Source organism: Homo sapiens, chromosome 13 (assembly GCF_000001405.40).
Source record: "Homo sapiens chromosome 13, GRCh38.p14 Primary Assembly".
Classification (NCBI taxonomy): domain Eukaryota; kingdom Metazoa; phylum Chordata; class Mammalia; order Primates; family Hominidae; genus Homo; species Homo sapiens.
In genome coordinates, this window is record NC_000013.11 from 48180829 (window position 1) to 48205954 (window position 25126).

General features: G+C 40.5%; 1 long non-coding RNA gene across 5 annotated transcripts in view, besides 2 other annotated features; it reads right to left on the reverse strand.

Annotated features, from left to right (window-relative positions):
• Positions 1-25126, reverse strand: part of LOC105370198 (uncharacterized) — a 114265-nt gene that overhangs the window by 72784 nt on the left and 16355 nt on the right. For 2 of the 5 annotated variants that reach the window (XR_007063791.1, XR_007063789.1), the window contains exons 2-3: positions 1062-2348; positions 53-231 (exon numbers count right to left, since the gene is read on the reverse strand). This is a non-coding gene — a long non-coding RNA (uncharacterized LOC105370198). Of the gene's footprint in view, positions 1-52; positions 232-1061; positions 2782-25126 lie in introns of those variants that run through there. The other 3 variants (XR_007063790.1, XR_007063792.1, XR_007063794.1) reach the window with 3 other exon arrangements.
• Positions 5558-5787: an enhancer, noted in NCBI's record as "active region_7724". NCBI's record gives its function as "activates an Ori minimal core promoter by ATAC-STARR-seq in GM12878 lymphoblastoid cells {active_cell/tissue: GM12878}" and the evidence as "EXISTENCE:reporter gene assay evidence [ECO:0000049][PMID:35858748]".
• Positions 18625-18919: a silencer, noted in NCBI's record as "tiled region #1366; K562 Repressive non-DNase unmatched - State 23:Low". NCBI's record gives its function as "represses a minimal TATA promoter and a strong SV40 promoter by Sharpr-MPRA in K562 cells {active_cell/tissue: K562}" and the evidence as "EXISTENCE:reporter gene assay evidence [ECO:0000049][PMID:27701403]".

Genomic DNA, 25126 nt, shown 5'->3' on the forward strand with positions numbered 1-25126 from the left:
CTCCGTAATTTATTTAGTGATAGGCTTGGATTAACACAAATCATGTACTCACCAAGTGAGCAAATTCCATTCCATAGTACAATGTATTCCAAATTACATATCCAATGTTGAAGGAACTTTGTATTTAAAAGATAACTTGAAAGGTGCTCATAATTCATCTCGTCAGATTAATGAAGGGTGTTTTGAGTCACTTATATTCCAGAAATTTCAGAACCATAAGGAGTATAGAAACTGTGGGGAATAAGTGTCATTTACATTTAAACATATTTAGGCTCTATCTTTTGATATTGTGGAGGTTTATTCATTTGTTTTTAGGTCTTGGGCAGGAAAGGAATCTTTAGAAGTAGAAAAAACTATTTACACTTACTGGGATAGCAAATTAATATTCCATTTTTATTACACAATTAAGAATCTAGTTTTTCTTGAGTTTAAATTACTAATCTTGTTATGCAAATGAAGAATAATTCACTTTTCTATGATTAATATTTGGTGAGCTGATATTAAAGAAACCAAATTTAATTAAACAATTCAGTACCATTTACAAAGTAGATAATTAAATCTCCTTAAACATTTTAAACTGTATTTATAAATTTAACAAGTCAGTTTTTATTTTAAACATTTCAAATGCCTGAAGAGCTAACTTATAACCTAATAAGCAAAACCTCCCCCAAGTACTTAAATAATTCTTATCAACCTAACACATCAAATGTACAAATGTGGCAAATTAAACTCCCTTAAACATTCCAATTTCTCAGAAAAAGCAAGAGTATTAATACTGAACCAAATGGGGAAATTGGAAAGGGAAGACGGTGTCGTAGAGCTATGCTGATAGCAACCTTTAAAGTTGTACTATAAGGAATTGAAACTAAGAGTTCTGGAACTGTGGTTCTCTGAAATCAGAATCACTGAGTCCCTTGACATACAGTTGCCCAAGTCCCACCCGAGACCTACTAAATCTCATCTACTATAAATATTTTGAAAACATTCCCTGTTTCCTGATATTGTCCAACTCCCCAAACTCCCTACTCCATACTCCCCTGTCTGTGCCCCATATATTATACCTTCTGCCTAGCTGACTCATTGGCTGGAGCGCAGAGAAAAGCTGCTGTGGAAATGCAGATTTGACAGTGATCACCTGGAGAGAATAGTGTGTCCCTTCATAAGCAACTTCCATAGAGCAGATGGTTAGTTAGAGAGTCTAGCACTGACGCTTGGGAGGACACCCATAGTGAGGGGAGAGAAAGAAGATAAGCCTGAAAAATAAATGATAGCACTTTATATCTACCTATAGCTCTAGGACAAAATTACAAAGTCCTAAAACCATTTTTCCTTAGTACATATGTGAAACTAAGGCCTGAGTTTTACATGCCAAATATATACAAGGGAACTGACTTCTTTTTTTATTTTTAATTATTATTATATATTTTTTTGAGATGAAGTCTCACTCTGTTGCCCAGGCTGGAGTGAAGTGGTGTGATCTCAGCTCACTGCAACTTCCACCCACTGGGTTCAAGTGATTCTCCTGCCTCAGCCTCCTGAGTAGCTGGGGTTATAGGCACCTGCAACCTTGCCAGGCTAATTTTTGCATTTTTAGTAGAGACGGGGTTTCACCATGTTGGCCAGGCTTGTATCGAACTCCTGACCTCAGGTGATCCACCCGCCTCAGCCTCGCAAAGTGCTGGGATTACAGGTGTGAGCCACCACATCCGGCCACAAGGGGACTGACTTCTAAAAGTTCATGGAAAATGCATTTAATGAGAAAACTATGTGTAGATTTCAAATTTTTTTTGCACTAAAAGAAGCTCATACTAATTTGTTATAGCATGTCTGAACGGGATCTCCTTGAGGCACTAAGAAGGATGAAATATCAGTTTGAAAAGAGCCTCTATCAGAGCAACATGAATTCTGCTAAAATTGAAGAAAGAGCAAATATCAAATTGATGGTGAGGCTTGGGTGGAAGAATGGTGACATTATTGATGCTTTATGAAAAATATATGGGGACAATGCACCCCCCAAAATCAGCAGTTTACAAATGGATAACTCATTTTAAGAAAGGACGAGGTGATATTTAAGATAAAGCTCACCATGGCAGACCATCCACATCAATCTGTGAGGAAAAAACTCATCTTGTCCATGCCCCAAATGAAGAGGACTGGTGTAACAGCACAAACAGAAGCCAACACAATAGGCATCTCACTTGGTTCAGCTTACACAGTTATGACTGAAAAATTAAAGTTGAGCAAACTTTCCATTTGATGGATGCCAAAACTGTTGAGGCCAGATCAGCTGCAGACAATGGAAATTTTACACAAGTAGGATCAAGATCCTGAAGCATTTCTTTGAAGAACTGTAACAAGAGATGAAACATGGCTTTATCAGTGTAATTCTGAAGACAATGCACAATCAAAGAAATGGTTACCAAGAGGTGGAAGTGGTGCAGTCAAAGCAAAAGTGGGTTGGTTAAGATTAAAAGTCATGGCAACAGTTTTTTGGGATGCTCAAGGCATTTTGCTTAAGCATCCCAAAAAACTTTCTGGAGACTTTCTTGAGGACCAGAGACTGATAACTTCTGCTTATTATGATTACATTTTGAGAAAGTCAGCCAAAGCTTTAACAGAAAATGCCTGGGAGGGCTTCACCAGAGAGTCCTTCTCCACTCTGACAACACTCCTGCCCATGTCAAATGAGGGCAATTTTGGGAGAGTTTTGAGGTAAAATTATTAGGCATCTACCTTACAGTCCTGATTTGGCTCCTTCTGACTTCTTTTTGGTTTCTAATCTTAAAAATCTATAAAGGGTACCCATTTTTCTTCAGTTAATAATATAAAAAGGATTGCATTGATATGGGTAAATTCCCAGGACCCTCAGTTCTTTAGGAATGGACTAAGTGGCTGGTATCATCACTTACAAAAACATGTTGACCTTGATGGCACTTATGTTGAGAAATAAAGTTTGCATTTTTTATTTATGTATTTTAATTCAATTTTTCCATGAACTTTCTGAAGTCCGTGTGTGTGTGTGTGTGTGTGTGTGTGTGTGTGTGTGTGTGTGTGTTTATAAAATCAAATGCTTAGAATTAGAATAGAAATCTGGTGCTGTGGTAAGGGTTTTAACCAATAGTAAAATATTTACAAGTTCAATGCAGGGTTGTGATAGAGACTAAAAGGGTCCCTGCCCTGAATGACACAAACAAATTAATCAATCTTTTTATTTTTTGATTTTAAAACAGGAACTGCCATATGCCTAGCCCCCAGTGAGGCCCCATGGAAGTTGTGGGAGAAACTTAGGTGATATTCCTTTCCTCCAGACTGCAATATTGTTGAGGAGATGAAATTAACCACACATAACAATAAAAGATGGTGTATAATGAAATGCTAGGCAGAGTGCGGCACTCCATAGGTGGAGTGGGAGATGGGAGAAGGAAGGTTTGTGGAAGAAAGCAGGTCAGGCTTTACAAAAATGCAAAGACATCAGCTGATTCTCACAGAATGGGTGGGACGTGAACCCCAACCCACACAGAGGTGTCTGGGTACCTTGAAGAAAAGGCCCGTTAGGGAAATACTGACAATTTTGAGTAAGCTGACCACATTTTTCATAAAAATATCAGTACATATGGTCTGACACATGGTCTAACAACAGGAAAGAATATTTTTAATTGGGGCTGCCCCAGAAAATCTAGAACATATGGTTACTTTATTTACAGGCCAAGAAACTCCTAATTACAAGAGAAAACGGAACTGACCAGCCCTCGGTAGACAAGACCTAGCCACTGCCATGCAAGAAGCTGCTAAACTATTTCCCTCCAGTCATCAAAGTTTATGTTCTTTTTTAAGGTTTCTGTTAGTATTTTCAGATAAAAGGTCAGTGCCTGAACTATACAAGACAAGCTGGGGAAATTCTACTCAGATTTCTTCAATTGCATTCTTTAACAGTCTCTCAAATTGCCTCAAATAATTTTTGTACTAGGCAGGGTATAAATAATGAATGCAAAAATGTTTCTTCCACCTGGGATAATAAAATAAGTCCAATTTAAAATTTCCTTCCCTTGAAGAAAAGGGGAACGTCTATACCCACGAAGTTTTTAGCTTGTTATCAGAGTTCTCATCTATATTGAAAAATACATTTTAAATTATCAAGATTGTTATATGTAATTTTGTTCTTTGCTTCTCTGATGTTTCACTGTTTTGCTCTTTAGTAGCTTACTGTCTGAAACAAAATACATGCCACAAGCTTCCTTATCCAGTTTTGCAATTTAATAATCTTAGCAATTATTGGAAAAGAAACAGTTTAAAAGGCTTTAACTCAAGTCTTGGCAGGTTAGAACATCTTCCATTTCATCTTTCACCCCATCCCAGGGCTCAGAGATCACTTGCCAACTCATTACTAATATTATCAAGGAAATGCACAGTTTTCTGCTTTTATGGTCAGTGAATACACTGACCAAGATGATGTGGTAATCACTGTGGATGAACAACAACAAAGCTACACATTTGAGCAAACCTTTTTCCTTATGTCTTAAACAAAATCTTAATTAAATGCATCTTAAAATACAGGATAAATGTTTCTGATAAAAGCAAAAAGATGTGCTTTTAATGAGATTTTCTGGGCACCAGACTTGTCTTTTCTCTTTCAATCTTCCATTATTATTTGAGGCCTCAAAATACTTACACTGATGGGCCGGGCGCGGTGGCTCACGCCTGTAATCCCAGCACTTTGGGAGGCCGAGGCAGGCAGATCATGAGGTCAGGAGATCAAGACCATCCTGGCTAACATGGTGAAAACCCGTATCTGCTAAAAATACAAAAATTAGCTGGGCATGGTGGCGGGTGCCTGTAGTCCCAGCTACTCGGGAGGCTGAGGCAGGAGAACGGCGTGAACCCAGGAGGCGGAGCTTTCAGTGAGCCGAGATTGTGCCACTACAGTCCAGCACTCTAGCCTGGGTGACAGAGCGAGAGACTCCATCTCAAAAAAAAAAAAAAAAAAAAAAAAAAGAAATACTTACACTGAAAGAGCCCGATTTTCATTAGCTGCGGTTGCTAAAAATGGGGAACCACCTAAACACACAACAATATAAACTGGGCCAGGTGCAGTGGCTCAGGCCTATAATCCCAGCACTTCGGGAGGCCGAGTAGAGTGGATCACCTGAGGTCAGGAGTTCAAGACCAGCCTAGCCAACATGGTGAAACCCCGTCTCCACTAAAAAAATATATATATATAAATTAGCCAGGTGTGCTGACAGGTGTCTGTAATCCCAGCTACTTGGGAGGCTGAGGCAGGGAGATTCCCAGCTACTCGGGAAGCCGAGGCAGGGAGAATCACTTGAAACCGGGAGGCAAAGTTTGCAGTGAGCTGAGATGGTGCCACTGCACTCCAGTCTGGGCGACAGAGTGAGACTCCGTCTCAAAAACAAAAAACAAACAAAAACCAAAAGAAAGGGAATATTTTACAACCACTAAAATTTAAAACTTAATTCAGCCTTAAAAAGGAAGAAAATTCTGTCACATGCTACAAACATAGATGAACCTTGCAGACATTACACTAGGTGAAATAAGCCAGACACAAAAGGACAAATACTATATGATTTCAGCTACAGGAGCTACCTAGAGTAGTCAAACTCACAGAGCAAGTAGGATGTGGTTTCCAGGGGCTGCTGGGTGAAGGGGGGATGGGGAATTGTTATTTAATAGGTACAGAGTTTCAGTTTTGCAGGAAGAAAAGAGTTCTAGAAATGTATAGTGGTGTTGGTTGCACAACAATGCAAACGTACTTAATGCCATTGAACTGTATACTTAAAAATGGTTAAATGACAAACTCCATGTTATGCATATTTTACCACAATTTTTTAAAAATGAAAAGTCTAATTAATGCAAATAATTCTAAATGTTGACATTGCTGGTTATCCACATGGATAAAAACTCTCTCTTCCTGTCACCACACCTAGGTCTAATGCTGATGGTGAATTTTCCATGGTCTTTGGATAATTGGGCACTCAGTAAATGCAAGTGGTGTTAATGATGTGACAGTTATTTGCCTGGTCTCCTTGAATAAGTAAGTATTGATATATTAATATCTTTATTTATTTATTTATTTATTTATTTATTTATTTATTTATTTTGAGACAAGGTCTCGCTCTGTCACCCAAGCTGGAGTGTAGTGGCATGATCATGGCTCACTGCAGCCTCAACTTCCCAGGCTCAAGCAATCCTCACACCTAAGCCTCCCCAGTAGCCAGGACTGCAGGTATATGGCACAACATCTGGCTAGTTTTTGCATTTTTTGTAGAGATGGGGTTTTGCCATGTTGCCCAGGCTGGTCTTGAACTCCTGGGCTCAAGCGATCCACCTGCCTCGGCCTCCCAAAGTGCTGGGATTACAGCATGAGCCATTGTGCCCGGCCAATGTCATTTTTAATAATAGCTGTAGCTAAGTTTCTTAAGTGCTTGCTATATACTGAGTACTGATCTAAATAGTAAAATTCTCAAAGCAACCCTATGAAAGTTTGTATATGATGTGTCTAGTCTCAGAGAGGTAATTTACCCTCTGTTGCTAACCAGCAAGTGGAAGAGCAGGGGTATTAACGTAGTGGTATGATCCAGTGCTTACCCTTTACAACATTAGTCTCAAGCCAGATTCTTAGAAAACAAAGGAGCCTATTATAACTACCACATTTTCATGGGTGAATCTCTTTACTAAATCTTTCATTTCTTCAACAAAAAGTTTGTTAAACACTTACTATGTTCCAGGCAATGGGCCAAGTGCTAGAGATTCATAAAACTAATAAGACATAGTCTTACAATCCAATAAAAAGAGAAAAATAAGTGAAAGATAACACGAGATGGTGTGATTAAAGAATACTGGGGGAGGGGGACCACAAAGAGGAAGGGCTCACAGTTTCGCTCAGTGGGGCACTTCACCTATTTTTTTCCCTTTGTATGCTGTGGGAAACATTTTTCTCTTTAATTTAACTGGTATAACATGTAAATAGATTGGGCAACAAAGAAAACTAAAATAAGTGTCAGAAGATATTTGAGGATACAAGATAAAAGAGGATAGAAAACATTCTAGATGGTCTATGTTAACAAAAGGATACCAGCTAGAAAAGCCAGATTAAAAGGTAGAGGAGAGTAACTGGGAGAAAAAGCAATAAAAAGGCCAGTGTAAGCAATAAGTGATATTTAGTGTATATCCTCAAATAGTAGGATCATGTACAAAATAGTTCAAGGACTTGTGCTGTATTGCCAAGGAGCATACAATCTAACAGGCACAAATAAGACAAAAGGCACAAATAAGAAACATATTTTTCAAGCAATAATTCATAAGGGCAAATTAAAATAATGCAGAAGATGAGTACCATCAAGGCAAAGGAATAAAAACAGCAAGATCCTAGGGGACTGGGGTCCAATTTTGAAATAAAGGAGGAGTACTGCTGGTGAAGAGGAACAGGGCATTGGAACTAGGAAGAGCAACCACGGAGCCATAGAGATTGGAAAAAATGAAGCCCTATAACCCCAGCACAATGACTTTAAGAGGAAGCAAGCAGCAAGTGGGACTGTGCTATAGGGAAGAATTCACAGATGACCTGGAGAAATTCAGGAGAATGAGAAGTGCTTACACATTAATGAAAGAACTCCAAAATACATACTTCCAAACTTCTACAAATTTTAATTTTGCCAGCCATAGAAAGGGAATCACTGCAACTGTGTGTATCCAACAAGCCAAAAGGTGAACTTCAAAGAGTGAAGGGGTCAGGTGTTTACCTTATTAAAATGTCATCAACAAGAGGGCTCAAAGTTGTCATAGAGCATTCACTGTTGATTCTGAACTAGCCCTTGGGTAACTGAGCTAAGTCTGGACACAGTGTGGGAAAAAGGCAAGAGAGAAAGAATGCATCAAAGACAGGAAATCAACTCTGCAATGTATAATAATTGAATATTGCACATGTTCTTGAATATTGCACATGTCACTGTGCCCCAGGAACTATTGTAAAGGGCTCCTCGGGGAGCTCTATTGTAAAGGAGGGTTTGCTTATTTCATTTTCACCATCCTCCTGGAGGTGGGGAGTGGTAGAGCTGCTCCCAGGAGCCCAGACCCTTCACCACCAGACTACCCCATCTTTTTACTGCTTCTGAAGTGATTATGCAAAATTCTGTCTCTTGAAATGGACGGGCAATTACTTGTATATATGAATGTAATATAACAAGTATTTTCCAACTGTGATCTATGCAGCCTAAAGAATCTGTTTTATTTTTAATGAATTTACTTGTAGTCTGCCACATGCCATAAAGAATTTGATGCCAAATGACAGGTGTATAGGAAGTAGATTGTGAATTTAGTTAGATTTTATACATGGTTCCATAAAAAACTATTCTTCTGAATTTTGAAAAGTATTGAAAACGAATCACAGAGAAGTTATTAGACAGGGCAGAGTTCATTCTCCAGAACTCTGTTAACAGCTTTAGGGACTTAGAACCAGCCAAGCCCTTCTTGGAAGTCATGCCATATACTCATCTGGGCACTTAGCAAGTATTGATTCACACCCCAATCTGAACTCTGAAAGATAAGATAATGACTTTGTAATATCAGTCATCAAATAATAAATATTCATTCTCTGACTCTCTGAAGAGAAGATACATTTAAAATGTCAGCTGCATTTTATTGTAACTAGATGGAAATTTGTTTTATTACTCCTAAGCTGTTAAATAAAGAAGCTACAAACCATGCACTGAAGAAGACTAAAAGCAAATGCTGAAGTAATAGTAATCACACCATTCCGCAGAAATTACCAGTAGTGCTAGGAGTGTAAGGATACTATTTAGTCTTAATCTCAGCTTTTCCAGCCCTTCTTTCTGAGGCAATTTTTCTTTTCTTTCTTTTTTTTTAAGATGGAGTTTCGCTCTTGTTGCCCAGGCTGGAGTGCAATGGTGCAATCTTGGCTCACTGTAACCTCTGCCTCCTGGATTCAAGCGATTCTCCTGCCTCAGCCTCCCAAGTAGCTGGGATTATGGGTGCCCACCACCACGCCTGGCTAATTTTGTATTTTTAGTAGAGATGGGGTTTCTACATGCTGGTCAGGCTTGTCTCGAGCTCCCAACCTCAGGTGATCCACCCGCCTCGGCCTCCCAAAGTGCTGGGATTACAGGTGTCAGCCACCGGAGCCCGGCCTGATGCAATTATTTAATTGCTAGATATTATGGGTTGAGTTGTTCCCCCCAAAACTTATATGTTGAAGTCCTAACTCCCTTTGATTGTGACTATATTTAGAGATAGGGTCTTTACAGAGGTAATTAAGTTAAAATGAGATCATTAGGGTGGGGCCCTAATCCAATATAACTGGTGTCCTGATAAGAGGAGGAAATTTAGACACAGACACACAGAGAGGGAAGGTGATATAAAGACACAGCCAGAAGACAGCCATTTACCAGCCAAGGAGACGGGTCTCAGAAGAAACCAACCCTGCCAACACCTTGGACTTCTAGTCTCTGGAATTGTGAGAAAATTAATTTCTGTTGATTGAAGCTATTCAGTCTGGAGTACTTTGTTATGGCACCCCTAGCAAACTAATCTACTGCGCACTCCCCTAGACTAAGCTCACTGAGGGCCAGCACGAGTCTGGGCGTCTTCTTTACCCTTGAATTCCCAGTACATTTTGTGGAGCCTAGTACACAGTAGATGTTTATTGAATGTTGTTGAATGAATAGCTGAACTTAGCTGAATGTTTTGGCCCATTTCTCTGGAGTACAGGGATTTAATGATTACCAAAAATAATCAAAGGACATTTTCTTCCTTTGTCAAAAAATAACTTCAGATTCAGATTTTTAAAATAGTGATCATACATTGTGAAAAATAGCAGTATAAAGAAGGAAAACACAATCATCAGATCTTGCCACTTAGATGTAACTACTTTACATTCTGACACTTCCCAGTCTTTTTCTATACACATACATATTTTAACACAGAGGAAATAATAGTGTACCACTTATCATTATGTCACATTTCCCCTACATCATTAAAAATTATTCATAAGCATTTGAATGGCTATAAAATATATAATATCATATGCATCTTTCATAATTGAAATGCTTGGCTGAGCACAGTGGCTCATGCCTATAATTCCAACACTTTGGGAGGCCAACATGGGAGAACTGTTTGAGCCCAGGAGTTCAAGACCAGCCTAGGCAACACAGAGAGACCCTGTCTCAATACACACACACACACACACACACTGAATTCCTTGTAGTTAGACATTCAGGTGTTTCTAGCTGTTTCTATCATAATTAGCAGGGCAATGAGTTTCTTTGTGTGAGAAAGCTTTTATCCACTTTTCTGAATTCTTTAAAGCATGACATCCTAGCACTACCGTTATTGATTCAAAAGGTAAGGCCATTGGTAAGGCTTTTGGTAGACATTCTTCCATCGCTTTTTAAGAAATTAAACCAATTTATACTCTACAAGCAGTCCATGAGATTTCCCATTACACTTAACCCTTAAGCATTACTTTTACAAATCTTGCTAATTGGATAAGTTGAAATGGCATCTGAGTGTCATTTTAATTTGCATCTTTTGAATATTAATGAAGCTTCCGATTTTTCTACATGCATTAACCACCCATAACTTTGCCTTTTGAATTGCCTGTGTGTATTTTGAAAGGGGATTTTCTGAACACCTTTGATGAAGTAGTTTTCTAGCCAGGCTCCTACTGCAATGTTGCCTGCTCTTCAGCAAAGGCCTCTGCTTCTGAGGGAATGAGACTTTACACCCTACAGCTGCCCGAGAATCTTATCATGGGCTAATACACAACAATGAAGTCTTCACTGTTCTGAATTGACAGAGAGAGAAACCTGTTCCAATTATTTACCTCCTTCTAACAAAATTTTGATACATCAATTGCATGTGGATATATTTAATCTAGCTATCTAAGTGTGAAATCAGTTTTCCTTGTAAAACGAAAAGAAAATTCTCAGTTCAAAAAAAAAGAAAAACAACCCAGAATTTTGTAAGAAAGGCAGATAGCTTTGTATTAACAACATAATTTTGGAAGTACGTCTATTTCCCAGCTGCACTTATTAAATTCAGGACACAGAGGAAATTAAAAATACATATATTTTCCAACTAATTTATTCTAAAATTCACATCTGTAACAAAACAAAATGTTGTAGCTTGCATAAACCGTAGAGGTCTTCTGATCAAATACCTATATGTTCAGATGGGAAAAATGTCAACAGAAATGATTTTGGAAATGGTAGTTAGTGGCATAGATTAGTTTTAGAGTAAGAAATAGATCAGAGGGGCTGAATTCTGCCAGCATATTGGTGATACAGAGCAGGTAGGAGGAGGCAGTTCAGTACAGTAAAAAAAAAAAAAAAAAAAAAAAAAAAAAAAAAAAAAAAACGGCCAGGAACTGAGGCTCATGCTTGTAATCCCAGCACTTTGGGAGGCCAAAGTGGGCAGATTGCTTGAGCCGAGGCGTTGGAGACCAGCGTGGGCAACACTGGTCTCCTCTCTACAAAAAATACAAAATTTAGCTGGGAGTGGTGGAGCGCACCTGTAGTCCCAGCAACTCAGAAGCTGAAATGGGAGGATCACTTGAGCACAGGAGACGGAGGTTGCAGTGAGTGGAGATAGTGCCACTGCGCTCCCGCCCATGAGTGTACCCTTGATACAGCAAGACCCTGTCTCAAAAAGATAATAGAAAAGAAAAAGAAAAGAAAAGAAAAACTATGCAATTCTGACTCCTTTGATGTGTTTCCCTTCCACTTCCTCGCTTAGTCAATCCTCACCCATTCTTGCTCCCTTTTCTCATAAGCACGGTGGAAGATACGTCCCTACCCCTTTCCAAGGCTAATCCCACCCTCCCTTTTTTGTTCCCTCCCCTCACACCTCCGGATGTCATCTGTCTCTTCCCTCTCTTGCATTGTCATCCTTCCCTCTCTCTCCATCTGTTTCTCGAACTAAAAATACATTCAATTTTCCCCTTCCTAAAAAAAAGCTAGGCTTCCTAGCCAACATTACCCTTTATTTATAACAATATTTGTCCCCTTTTCAAACTCCTTGAATGTACAGTTTGTTTCTTCTTTTCTCCAATTTCCTTCCCACATGCATACACCAAGGTAACTGCTGTTATGGCTGTACCCCCACCTCCAGTTAGGTTTGCCTGTTCTTGAACTTCATATAAATAAACTCAAACAGTATGTACTCTTTTGTGTTCGGCTTCTTTATGCATTTATTCCTCTTTTTGTTGTGATAAAACACCTATAACATAAAATTTATTATTTCAGCCATTTTAAATATACAGTTCAGTGACATTAAGTACATTCAAATTGCTGTGCAACTAACATCACCATCCATCTCTAGAAATTATTTAACTTCCCAAATTGAAACTCTGAACCCATTAAACAATAACTCCTCATTTTTCCTCCCCCAGCTCCTGGTAACATCAATTCTACTCTGTCACTATGATTCTGCCTATTCTAAATTCTAAATTCTATAATTCTGCTCATATGAGCAGAATTATGCAATTTTTTTGTGTGTGGTTGGCTTATTTTACTTAGCATAATGGTTTTGCTTGTTTGTTTGTTTTTGAGACAGGATCTCACTCTGTTACCCAGGCTGGAGTGCAGTGGCACAATCTCCACACACTGCAACCTCCGTCTCCTGGGCTCAAGCGATCCTCCCACCTCAGCTTCCTGAGTAGCTGGGACTACAAGGACCACAAAATCCTGGGCTAATTTTTGTATTTTGTGTACAGACGAGGTTTTGCCATGTTGCCCAGGCTGGTCTCAAACTCCTGGGCTCAAGTGATCCACAAACCTCGGCCTCCCAAACTGCTGGAATTACAGGCATGAGCCACCACACCTGGTCAGCATGTTTTTAAGATCCATCCACATCATAGCATGAATCAGAACTTCATTCCTTTTTAGGCTGAATAATATTCCATTGTATGTATAAACTACATTTTGTTTATCCATTCATTGATCAATGGACATCTGCATTCTTTCCACCTGTTGGCTATTGTGAGTAGTGCTGCTATGAACATTGGTGTACAAATATTTGAGTCCCTGCTTTCAGTTCTATTGGGTGTATAACCAGAAGTAGAACTGTTGCATCATACCAAACATTCGATATTAAACAGTCTATCTTTAACTTGCTGAGAACCCACCATACTGTTTTCCACGGTGTATACACCATTTTACATTCCCACCAGCAATGCACTTTTTAATACCCTCTCCAACATTTGTTCTTTTCGGGTTTTTTGATAATTGCCATCCTAATGGGTGTGAAATGATATCTCATTGTGGTTTTGACTTATGCATTTTTTTTTTTCCTGAGACGGAGTCTTGCTCTGCCACCCAGGCTGGAGTACGGTAGCATGATCTCAGCTCACTGCAACCTCTGGCTCTGGGGTTCAAGCAATTCCCCTGCCACAGCCTCCTAAGTAGCTGGGACTACAGATGCATGCCACCATGCCAGGCTAATTTTTGTATTTTTAGTAGAGATGGGGTTTCACCATGTTGGCCAGGCTGGTCTCAAATTCCTAACTTCCGGTAATCCTCCCATCTCAGCCTCCCAAAATGATGAAATTATAGGCATGAGCGACTGCGCCTGGCCACATTTATTATTAAAATGTTATCTGCCCTTGGGCTCATGGCTTTTCTATTAGTTCTTTGTTTGTTTCTCATTCTTGGCAGACTTCCCCTTCTCTCTCTGACTCTTTAATCTAGGTTTCCCTGGGTTTCCCCTTAGCTTCTTCTGCTTTCTGTGCACATAGTCCCTAAAGAGCTTGTCCACTCCCATGATAGAAGTATCACACCCATGCCAGGGACTCTCAGATTTGTATTTTCTGAGTCGGGACTTCTTTCTGAGCATAGTGTTTGCCTTCAAATACTCTGAACACAGTATTTGTCTTCAAATAATCATTTGGAAATAAAAGAGTGTGAAGTTTAAAATCTGATTAAAAATATGGACACTGTTAATGGTCTTTGTTGCTGGCAAATGGGATTGGGGAATGGGGAATAAAGAAAAGACATAATTTTTTAAATTGTGGTTTAAAAAAACACCACAGAACATAAAATTTACTATGGTAACTATTTTTTTAATAGACTTTTTTTATTTTTTATTTTTTTGAGATGGAGTCTCACTCTGTCACCAGCTGGAATGCAGTGGTGCGATCTTGGCTCACTGCAACCTCTGCCTCCTGGGTTCAAGAAATTCTCCTGCCTCAGCCTCCCAAGTAGCTGGGACTACAGGCGCATGCCACTATGCCCAGCTAATTTTTGTATTTTTTGTAGAGACGGGGTTTCACTCTGTTGGCCAGGATGGTCTCGATCTCTTGACCTGCCTGCCTCGGCCTCCCAAAGTGCTGGGATTACAGGTGTGAGCCACTGCGCCCGGCCTAGACTTTATTTTTTAAGAGTAACTTGAGCTTCACAGCAAAACCAAGTAGAAGGTACGGAGGGTTCCTATATATCCCTGTCCCTACATATGTACAACCTCCTCCACCAGCAAAATTCCGAACCAGTATGGTACATTTGTTATGATAAAAGAAAAACTTTAGACAAAATAAATGCAACAGAGTTTGTTTGAGCGAAGGACAATTCTTGAGTTGGGCAGCCCTCAAAACCAGAGAGGCTCAGAAAACTATCCTCTGCAACATGGTCAATGGGTATTTATAGACAGAAAAAGGCTGAAGAGGTCAGGTGCAGTGGCTTACGCCTGTAATCCCAACACTTTGGGAGGCCAAGGCTGGTAGATCATGAGGTCAGGAGTTCAAGACCAGCCTGGCCAAGATGGTGAAATCTGGTCTCTGCCAAAAATATAGAAATTAGCTGGGCGTTGTGGCAGGTGCCTGTAATCCCAGCTACTCGGAAGGCTGAGGCAGAGAATTGCTTGAACCTGGAAGGTGGAGGTAGCAGTGAGCCAAGATTGCGCCACTGCACTCCAGCCTGGGCGACAGAGTGAGACTCCATCTCAAAAAGAAAAAAACAAAGAAGGAAAAGAAACAGGCTGAAGAAAGCAGAAATAAGGATGAAAAAGTGGATTGGTCATTTCAAAGTTACTTTCCCAGTAAAGGTTAAAGCCAAGGCAACTTCTTTAGAATGTTGGTTAAAAACGGCTTATTCAAGGATTTGGATATTATCTCTCTCTCTCCGGATTTCTTGGAAATTCAGATAAACAACTTAGTTTCGGTTTGGTGGCACAGAACTTCAGCATGAATGACCATATTTTGGTTTGGTCTGTTGGGGCCTAGTGCAGGAACTCAGTCCAAATCAATGACCTAATTTAAATTTTATTTAACAATTATAATTAATGCACCCACGTTGAAAAATCGTTATCAATGTTGTTATCAATTGTTGTTGTACATTCTATGGGTTTTGACAAATGTATAATGACATGTTTCCATCTTTATAGCACATACAGAGTCATTTCACTGCCCTAAAAACCCTATGTGCTCTGCCTACCTATCACTCCCTATTCCCAAAACTCTGGCAACCACTGATTTTTTTGTTGTTGTTGTTGTTTGAGATGGAGTCTCACTCTGTCACCCAGACTGGAGTGCGGTGGCACCATCTTGGTTCACTACAACCTCCACCTCCCGAGTTCAAGCAATTCTCCTGCCTTAGCCTCCTGAGTAGCTGGGATTATAGGCGTGTACCACCATGCCCAGCTAATTTTTGTATTTTTAGTAGAGACGGGGTTTCACCATGTTGGTCAGGCTGGTCTTGAACACTTGACCTCGTGATCCACCCGCCTCAGCCTCCCAAAATGCTGGGATTACAGGTGTGAGGCACCGCGCCTGGCCACCACTGATTTTTTTTTTTTTTTTTATTCTGAGATAGGATCTTGCTCTGTTCGCCAGGCTGGAGTACAGTAGTGTGATCATGGCTTACTGCAACCTTGGACTCCTGGGCTCAAGCAACTCTCCTGCCCCTGCCTCTTGAGTAGCTGGACCTACAGGTGCATGCCATCATGACCAGCTAATTTTAAAACTCCTCTGTAGAGACAAGGTTTCACTGTGTTACCCAGGCTGGTCTCAAACTCCTAACCTCAAGCTATCTTCCCACTCAGACCTTCCAAATCTCTGGGAATGCAGGTATGAATCACACCATGCTCAGCCTCCAATATCTTTTTACTATCTCCATAGTTTTGCCTTTTTCCAGAATGTCATATAGTTGGAATCATACAGTACGTAGCCTTTTCAGAGTGGCTTCTTTCACTTAATAATAGGCATTTAAGATTCCTCCATGTCTTTCCATGGCTTGATATCTCATTTCATTTCTTTTTATCATTGAATAGTATTCCACTATATAGATGTACCACAGTTCATTCATCTATTAACCTTCTGAAGTCATCTTGGTTGCTTCCAAGTTTTGGCAATTATGAAAAAAGATGCTATAATCATCTATGGACAGGTATTTGTGTGAACACAGTTTTCAATTCCTTAGGGTAACACCAAAGAGCATGATTGCTGGATCATATGACACTATGGTTTAAATGTATCCCCTCCAAAATTCAGGTGTCGAAACTTAATGGCCAATGTGATGGTACTGAAAAGTGGATCTTTTTTCCTTTTTTAAAGATAGGGTCTTGCTATGTTGCCCAGGCTAGTCTTGAATTCCTGAACTCAAATGATTGTCTGGCCTCAGCCTCCCAAGTAGTTGGAACCATAGGCAGATACCACCACATCTGGTGAGGTGAAGCCTTAAGAGACAATTAGGCCATGAGGGCTACTCCTTTGTGAATGGAATTAAGCACCTTATAAAAAAAAAAAAAAGGCTTTGTGAAGCATTTGCTCCTCTTGCCTTTCTGCCCTCTGGTGTGTGAGGACACAGTGTTCTTCCTTTCTGTGAGATGCAGTAACAAGGTACCATCTTGGAAGCATGGAGGATCCTTTACCAGACAGTGAGCCTGCTGGTGCCTTGATCTTGGACTTCCCACCCTCCAGAACTGTGAGAAATAAAATGCTGTTCTTTATAAATTAAACAGTCCCAAGTGTTTGTTATAGCAGCACAAAACAGACTAGAACATATTGTAAGAATATACTTACCAAACTGCCAACTGTCTTCCAAAGTGGCTGTTCCATTTTACATTCTACCAGAAATAAATGAAAGTTTTTGTTGTTCCTCATCTTTGCCAGTATTTGGTGCTGTTAGCAAAAGAATTGATAAGCTGGATTTTGTTAAGATTAAATACTTTTAGGTCAGGCACGGTGGCTCATGCCTGTAATCCCAGCACTTTGGGAGGCTGAGGCAGGGGGATCACCTGAGGTCAAGAGTTTGAGACCAGCCTGGCCAGCATGGTGAAACCCCGTCTCTACTAAAAAAACACAAAAATTAGCTGGGCATGGTGGTTCACGCCTGTAATCCCAGCTACTTGGGAGGCTGAGGCAGGAGAATTGCTTGAACCCAGGAGGTGGAGGTTGTGGTGAGCCGAGATCGGGCCATTGCACTCAAGCTTGGGCAACAAGAGCAAAACTCCGTCTCAAAAAAAGAAGAAAAATGCTCAACATCATGTCAGTAGGAAATTGCAAATTAAAAGCATGAGATATCCCTACAGAGCTATTAGAATGGCTAGAATCCATCGTAACTATTTTTACATGTACAGTTCAGTAGTGAATGTAACAGTACATTCACGTTGTTGTACAATAGATTTCTAGAGCTTTTGCTTCTTGTAAAACTGAAACTCTATACTCATTAACAACTCCCTTTACTTTGTCTCTATAAGTTTAACTACTTTTGTTACCTCAAATAACTGGTATTATACAGTATTTGTCTTTTCGTGACTGGCTTATTTAACATTTACCATAATGTCTTCAAGCTTCATCTGTGTTGTAGCAAGTGAAAGAATTTCCCACATTTTTTTAATTTTAAAAAAGCATTCATGTAGGTCAGGCGCAGTGCCCCATGCCTATAATCCTAGCACTTTGGGAGGCCGAAGTAGGTGGATCACCTGAGGTCAGGAGTTCAAGACCAGCCTGACCAACATGGCAAAATCCTGTCTCTACTAAAAATACAAAAATTAGCTAGGCATGGTGGTGCATGCCTGTAATCCCAGCGACTTGGGAGACTGAGGCAGGAGAATCGCTTGAACCCAGGAGGCAGAGGTTGCAGTAAGCCAAGATCATGCCACTTCACTCCAGCCTGAGCAAAAGAGTGAAACTCCTAAAGAAAGAAAGGAAGGAAAGAAGGAAGGAGCATTCATGTTTTCAATTAGGTAAAATAAGCTATGCTGGCTGATTGTCTCACCTGTGTGCTCTCCCCCACGATCACCGATTCTCCATCCTTCTCCCCCTGCTCTGAGACCCAGAAGCTGACCTCTACAGATTGCCTCACCCATGTTCTCTGGTTTCTGGTTGGGGGGCTAATGGGAGGCACCATCAGGAGACAGAGAGCAAGAGGTCTTTATTTTTATTTTATTTATTTATTTATTTTTGAGACAGAGTCTCGCTCTGTCACCCAGGCTGGAGTGCAGTGGCACCATCTCAGCTCACTGCAACCTCCGCCTCCTGGGTTCAAGTAATTCTCCTGCCTCAGCCTCCTGAGTGGCTGGGATTACAGGCACGTGCCACTATGCCCCACTAATTTTTGTATTTTTAGTAGCGATGGGGTTTCAGCATGTTGGTCAGGCTGGTCTCGAACTCCTGACCTCGTGATCCACCCACCTAAGCCTCCCAAAGTGCTGGGATTACAGGTGTGAGCCAGCACACCCAGCAAGAGGTCTTTATTTATTGCCCCACATGAACACCCACTTCCTGGCTCACTACTATTCAGGCAGTAGCTGCTTTTCATTCCTCTTGCTTAGCACAGGCTCACTTGAGGCTTCCTCACCATCATTTTGCCCCACCCCTGCCCCCTTTCCCCTTCAGGCCTAGAAGTAGAAATAAATTCCTGCTGTTGTTAGTACCTGCATGCTTCACGACCTCTTTTTTTGTTCCTTTAACCTTGCCCACACCTAGGTAAATAGTCCTTTGGTTAAAGTCTCTTTATTAAGCCCTTTTGAGTATGCCATCTGTTCATATGCTTCCTGCTAAGATCCTGAGTCAGACACATGCAACTATTAAAAAAAAGTTAACAGTTTAGAAGGCTAAGAAGGGAAAAATAAAAATCTGTGTTTACCCCCATAGCCCTTGACTCCATTCCATTCCATGTATAATTGCCATTTCATTTGGTGAGTTCTAATTCTTGGGTAAGCCCTGATTAGTCTTAGATAATTATGTTACATCCTTCTCCCTTACCAGTAACTGGTTCAGAAATCCAGGCCTAAGCCATTGGCAAAGGATATTTTCCTGTCCCAGGGACTGTGTTGAGAATGGGCACATGAGTCGCTCTCATGGCCCAGTTCAGAGTAATGAGATTCAAGGAGAAATTTGCTGGGGGTTTCTTCTCAGAGAACCAAGGTTGGAGGTGACCCCCAAATGTGGAACCAGTTTGAGGAAAAGTCAGCAGAGGAAGCTGAGCCACGAGAATCACAGAAACAGAGTCAGGCCACTGGATTAAGCCACTCATACCAACCCTAAGCCTAACCAGCCTCTGCACTTCCAACTATGGAACCTAATATATTTCATGGTTTTCCATTTATTTGCAACAAAAGCAACCTAGCCAATACACACACACACCACATACACACATATATACACTATAAAATACACATACCCAAATGGGATCATTTTATATATGTTTTACTGTAAATTGCCTTTTTCACTAAATGATATATTGTGAACATCTTTCCAACTAAGCACATTCAGTTTTGCTTCATTATTTAAACACTGGGTACTATCTTGTGGAAGTGACACAACATAGCTTCTCCTACTGTGGAATATGTAGGTCGTTTGCAGTTTTTCCCCATTACAAACATGGCACAGTGACACATATTATGGTATGTCTGTATCAATATGTGCATAAAATGAATTTCTAGTGGAATTGCTTGGTCAAAAAGTCTGAGAATTTAAAATGTTCATAAATACTGCTATATTGTTGGAGACTCTTCCAAGATGGTAGAAGACAGGCAATTTCTGCATTTCCAACCGAGGTACCTGGTTCATCTCATTGAGACTCGTTGGACAGTGAGTACAGCCCACAGAGGGTGAGCTGAAGCAGGGTGGGGCATCACCTCACCTGGGAAGCACAAGGGGTCAGGGGATTTCCCTTTCCTAGCCAAGGGAAGCCATAAGAGACTGTACCGGGAAGAATGGTACACTTCTGCCCAAATACTGTGCTTTTCCCATGGTCTTTGCAACCGGCAGACCAGGAGATGTCCTCCAGTGCCTGCCTTGAGGGGTCCCATGCCACAGAGCCCAGCAAGCTAAGATCCATTGGCTTGAAATTCTCCCCACTAGCGCAGCAGTCTGAGATCCACCTGGGCCACTCAAGCTTGGTGGGGGGAGGGGCATCTGACATTGCTGAGGCTTGTGTAGACAGTTTTACCCTCACAGTGTAAACAAAGCTGCCAGCAAGTTCAAACTGGGCAGAGTCCACTGCAGCTCAGCAAGGCCGACTGCCTCTCTAGATTCCACCTCTATGGGCAGGGCATATCTGAAGAAAAAGCAGCAGCCCCAGTCAGGGACTTATAGATAAAACCCTCATCTCCCTGGGACAGAGCACCTGGGGGAAGGGGCAGCTGTGGTCACAGCTTCTACAGACTTAAACATCCCTGCCTGACAGCTCTGAAGACAGCAGTGGTTCTCCAGCATGGTGTTCGAGCTTTGATAATGGACAGACTGCCTCCTAAAGTGGGTCTCTGACCCCCATGTAGCCTGACTGGGAGACATCTCCCAGTAGGGTCCAACAGACACCTCATACAGACAGGTGCCCCTCTGGGACAAAGCTTCCAGAGGAAGGATCAGGCAGCAATATTTGCTGTTCTGCAGCCTCCGCTGGTGATACCCAGGCAAACAGGGTCTGCAGTGGACCTCCGGCAAACTCCAACAGACCTGCAGCTGAGGGGCCTGACTGTTAAAAGGAAAACTAACAAACAGAAAGGAATAGCATCAACATCAACAAAAAGGACATCCACACCAAAACCCCATCCGTAGGTCACCAACATCAAAGACCAAAGGTAGATAAAATCACAAAGATGGGGAGAAACCAGAGCAGAAAGGCTGAAAATTTCAAAAACCAGAATGCCTCTTCTCCTCCAAAGGATCACAACTCCTCGCCAGCAAGGGAACAAAACTGGACAGAGAATGAGTTTGATGAGTTGACAGAAGTAGGTTTCAGAAGGTGAGTATCAACAAACTTCTCTGAGCTAAAGGAGCATGTTCTAAGCCATTTCAAGGAAGCTAAAAACCTTGAAAAAAGGTTAGATGAATGGCTAACCAGAATAACCAGTGTAGAGAACATAAATGACCTGATGGAGCTGAAAAACACAGCAGAAGAACTTTGTGAAGCATACACAAACTTCAATAGCCGATTTGATCAAGCGGAAGAAAGGATATCAGTGATTGAAGATCAAATTAATGAAATAAAGCGAGAAGCAAGATTAGAGAAAAAAGAGTGAAAAGAAATGAACAAAGCCTCCAAGAAATATGGGACTATGTGAAAAGACCAAATCTATGTTTGATTGGTGTACCTGAAAGTGACAGGGAGAATGGAACCCAGTTAGAAAACACTCTTCAGGATACTCTCCAGGAGAACTTCCCCAGTCTAGCAAGGCAGGCCAACATTCTAATTCAGGAAATACAGAGAACACCACAAAGATATTCCTTGAGAAGAGCAACCCCAAGACACATAATTATCAGATTCACCAAGGTTGAAATGAAGGAAAAAATGTTAAGGGCAGCCAGAAAGAAAGGTCGGGTTACCCACAAAGGGAAGCCCATCAGACTAACAGCGGATCTCTCAGCAGAAACCCTACAAGCAAGAAGAGAGGGGGGGCCAATATTCAACATTCTTAAAGAAAAGAATTTTTAACTCAGATTTTATATCCAGCCAAACTAAGCTTCATAAGTGAAGTAGAAATAAAATCCTTTACAGACAAGTGAATGCTGACAGATTTTGTCACCACCAGGCCTGCCTTACAAGAGCTCCTGAAGGAAGCACTAAACATGGAAAGGAAGAACCGGTACCAGCCATTGCAAAAACATGCCAAATTGTAAAGACCATCGACACTATGAAACAACTGCATCAACTAATGGTTAAAATAACCACCTAGCATCATAATGACAGGATCAAATTCACACATAACAATATTACCTTAAATGTAAATGGGCTAAATGCCCCAACTAAAAGACACAGACTGGCAAATTGGATAAAGAGTCAAGACCCATTGGTGGTCTATATTCAGGAGACCCATCTCACATGCAAAGACACACATAGGCTCAAAATAAAGGGATGGAGGAAGATCTACCAAGCAAATGGAAAGCAAAAAAAAGCAGGGGTTGCAATCTTAGTCTCTGATTAAACAGACTTTAAACCAACAAAGACCAAAAGAGACAAGGCCATTACATAATGGTAAAGGGATCAATTCAACAAAAAGAGCTAACTATCCTAAATATATTTGCACCCAATACAGGAGCACCCAGATTCATAAAGCAAGTTCTTAAAGACCTGGAAAGAGACTTAGACTCCCACACAGTAATAATCGGAGACTGTCCAATTAACACCCCATTGTCAATATTAGACAGATCAACAAGACAGAAAATTAACAAGGATATCCAGGACTTGAACTCAGCTCTGGACCAAGCAGACCTAATAGACATCTACAGAACTCTCCACCCCAAATTAACACAATATAAGTTCTTCTCAGCACCACACCACACTTATTCTAAAATTGACCACATACTTGCAACTAAAACACTCCTCAGCAAATGTAAAAGAACAGAAATCACAACAAACTGTCTCTCAGACCACAGTGCAATCAAATTAGAACTCAGGATTAAGAAACTCACTCAAAACTGCACAACTGCATGGAAGCTGAACAACCTGCTCCTGAGTGACTACTGGGTAAATAATGAAATGAAGGCGAAATAAAGATGTTCTTTGAAAACAATGAGAACAAAGACACAACGTACCAGAATCTCTGGGACACATTTAAAGTAGTGTCTAAAGAGAAATTTATAGCACTAAATGCCCACAAGAGAAAGCAGGAAAGATGTAAAATCGACACCCTAACATCACAATTAAAAGAACTACAGAAGCAAAAGCAAACAAATTCAAAAGCTAGCAGAAGACAAGAAATAACTAAGATCAGAGAAGAACTGAAGGAGATAGAGTCACGAAAAACCCTTCAAAGAATCAGTGAATCCAGGAGCTGGTTTTTTGAAAAGATCAACAAAATAGATAGACCACAAGCCAGACTAATAAAGAAGAAAAGAGAGAAGAATCAAATAGACGCAATAAAAAATGATAAAAGGGATATCACCACCGATCCCACAGAAATACAAACTACCATCAGAGAATACTATAAACACCTCTATGTAAATAAACTAGAAAATCTAGAAGAAATGGATAAATTCCTGGACACATACACCCTCCCAAGAGTAACTCACAAGAAGTCGAATCTCTGAATAGACCAATAACCGGTTCTGAAATTGGGGCAATAATTAATAGCCTACCAACCAAAGAAAGTGCAGGACCAGACGGATTCACAGCTGAATTCTACCAGAGGTACAAAGAGGAGCTGGTACCATTCCTTCTGAAACTATTTCAATCAATAGAAAAAGAGAGAATCCTCCCTAACTCATTTTATGAGGCCAGCATCATCCTGATACCAAAGCCTGGCAGAGACACAACAAAAAAAAAGAGAATTTTAAGCCAATATCCGTGATGAACATTGATGTGAAAATCCTCAATAAAATACTGGCAAACTGAATCCAGCAGCACATCAAAAAGCTTATCCACCATGATCAAGTCGGCTTCATCCCTGTGATGCAAGGCTGATTCAACATACTCAAATCAATAAATGTAATCCATCACATAAACAGAACCAAAGACAAAAGCCACATGATTATCTCAATAGATGCAGAAAATGCTTTTGACAAAATTCAACAGCCCTTCTTGCTAAAAACTCTCAATAAACTAGGTATTAATTGAATGTATCTCAAAATAATAAGAGCCATTTATGAGAAACCCACAGCCAATATCATACTGAATGGGCAAAACTGGAAGCATTCCCTTTGAAAACAGGCACAAGACAAGGATACCCTCTCTCACCACTCCTATTCAACACAGTATTGGAATTTCTGGCCAGGGCAATCAGGCAAGAGAAAGAAAGAAAGAGTATTCAGTTAGGAAAAAAGGAAGTCAAATTGTCTCTGTTTGCAGATGACATGACTGTATATTTAGAAAACCCTATCGTCTCAGCCCAAAGTCTCCTTAAGCTGATAAGCAACTTCAGCAAAGTCTCAGGATAGAAAATCAATGTGCAAAAATCACAAGCATTCGTATACAACAATAACAGACAGAGAGCCAAATCATGAGTAAACCCCCTTCACAATTGCTACAAAGAGAATAAAATACCTAGGAATCCAACTTAGAAAGGATGTGAAGGACCTCTTCAAGGAGAACTAAAAACCACTGCTCAACAAAATAAAAGAGGACACAAACAAATGGGAGAACATTCCATGCTCATGGATAGGAAGAATCAATATCATGAAAATGGCCACATTGCCCAAAGTAATTTATAGATTCAATGCTATCCCCATGAAGCTACCAATAACTTTCTTCACAGAATTGGAAAAAACTACTTTAAAGTTAATATGGAACCAAAAAAGAGCCTGCATAGCCAAGACAATCCTAAGCCAAAAGAACAAAGCTGGAGGCATCATGCTACCTTACTTCAAACTATACTACAAGGCTACAGTAACCAAAACAGCTTGGTACTGATACCAAAACAGATATATAGACCAATGGAACAGAACAGAGGCCTCAGAAATAACACCACACATCTACAGCCATCTGACCTTAGACAAACCTGACAAAAAGAAGCAATGTGGAAAGGATTCCCTATTTAATAAATGGTGCTGGGAAAACTGGCTAGCCATATGTAGAAAGCTGAAACTGGATCCCTTCCTTACATCTTATACAAAAATTATCTCAAGATGGATTAAAGACTTAAATGTAAGACCTAAAACCATAAAAACCCTAGAAGAAAACCTAGGCAATACCATTCAGGACATAGGCTTGGGCAAAGTCTT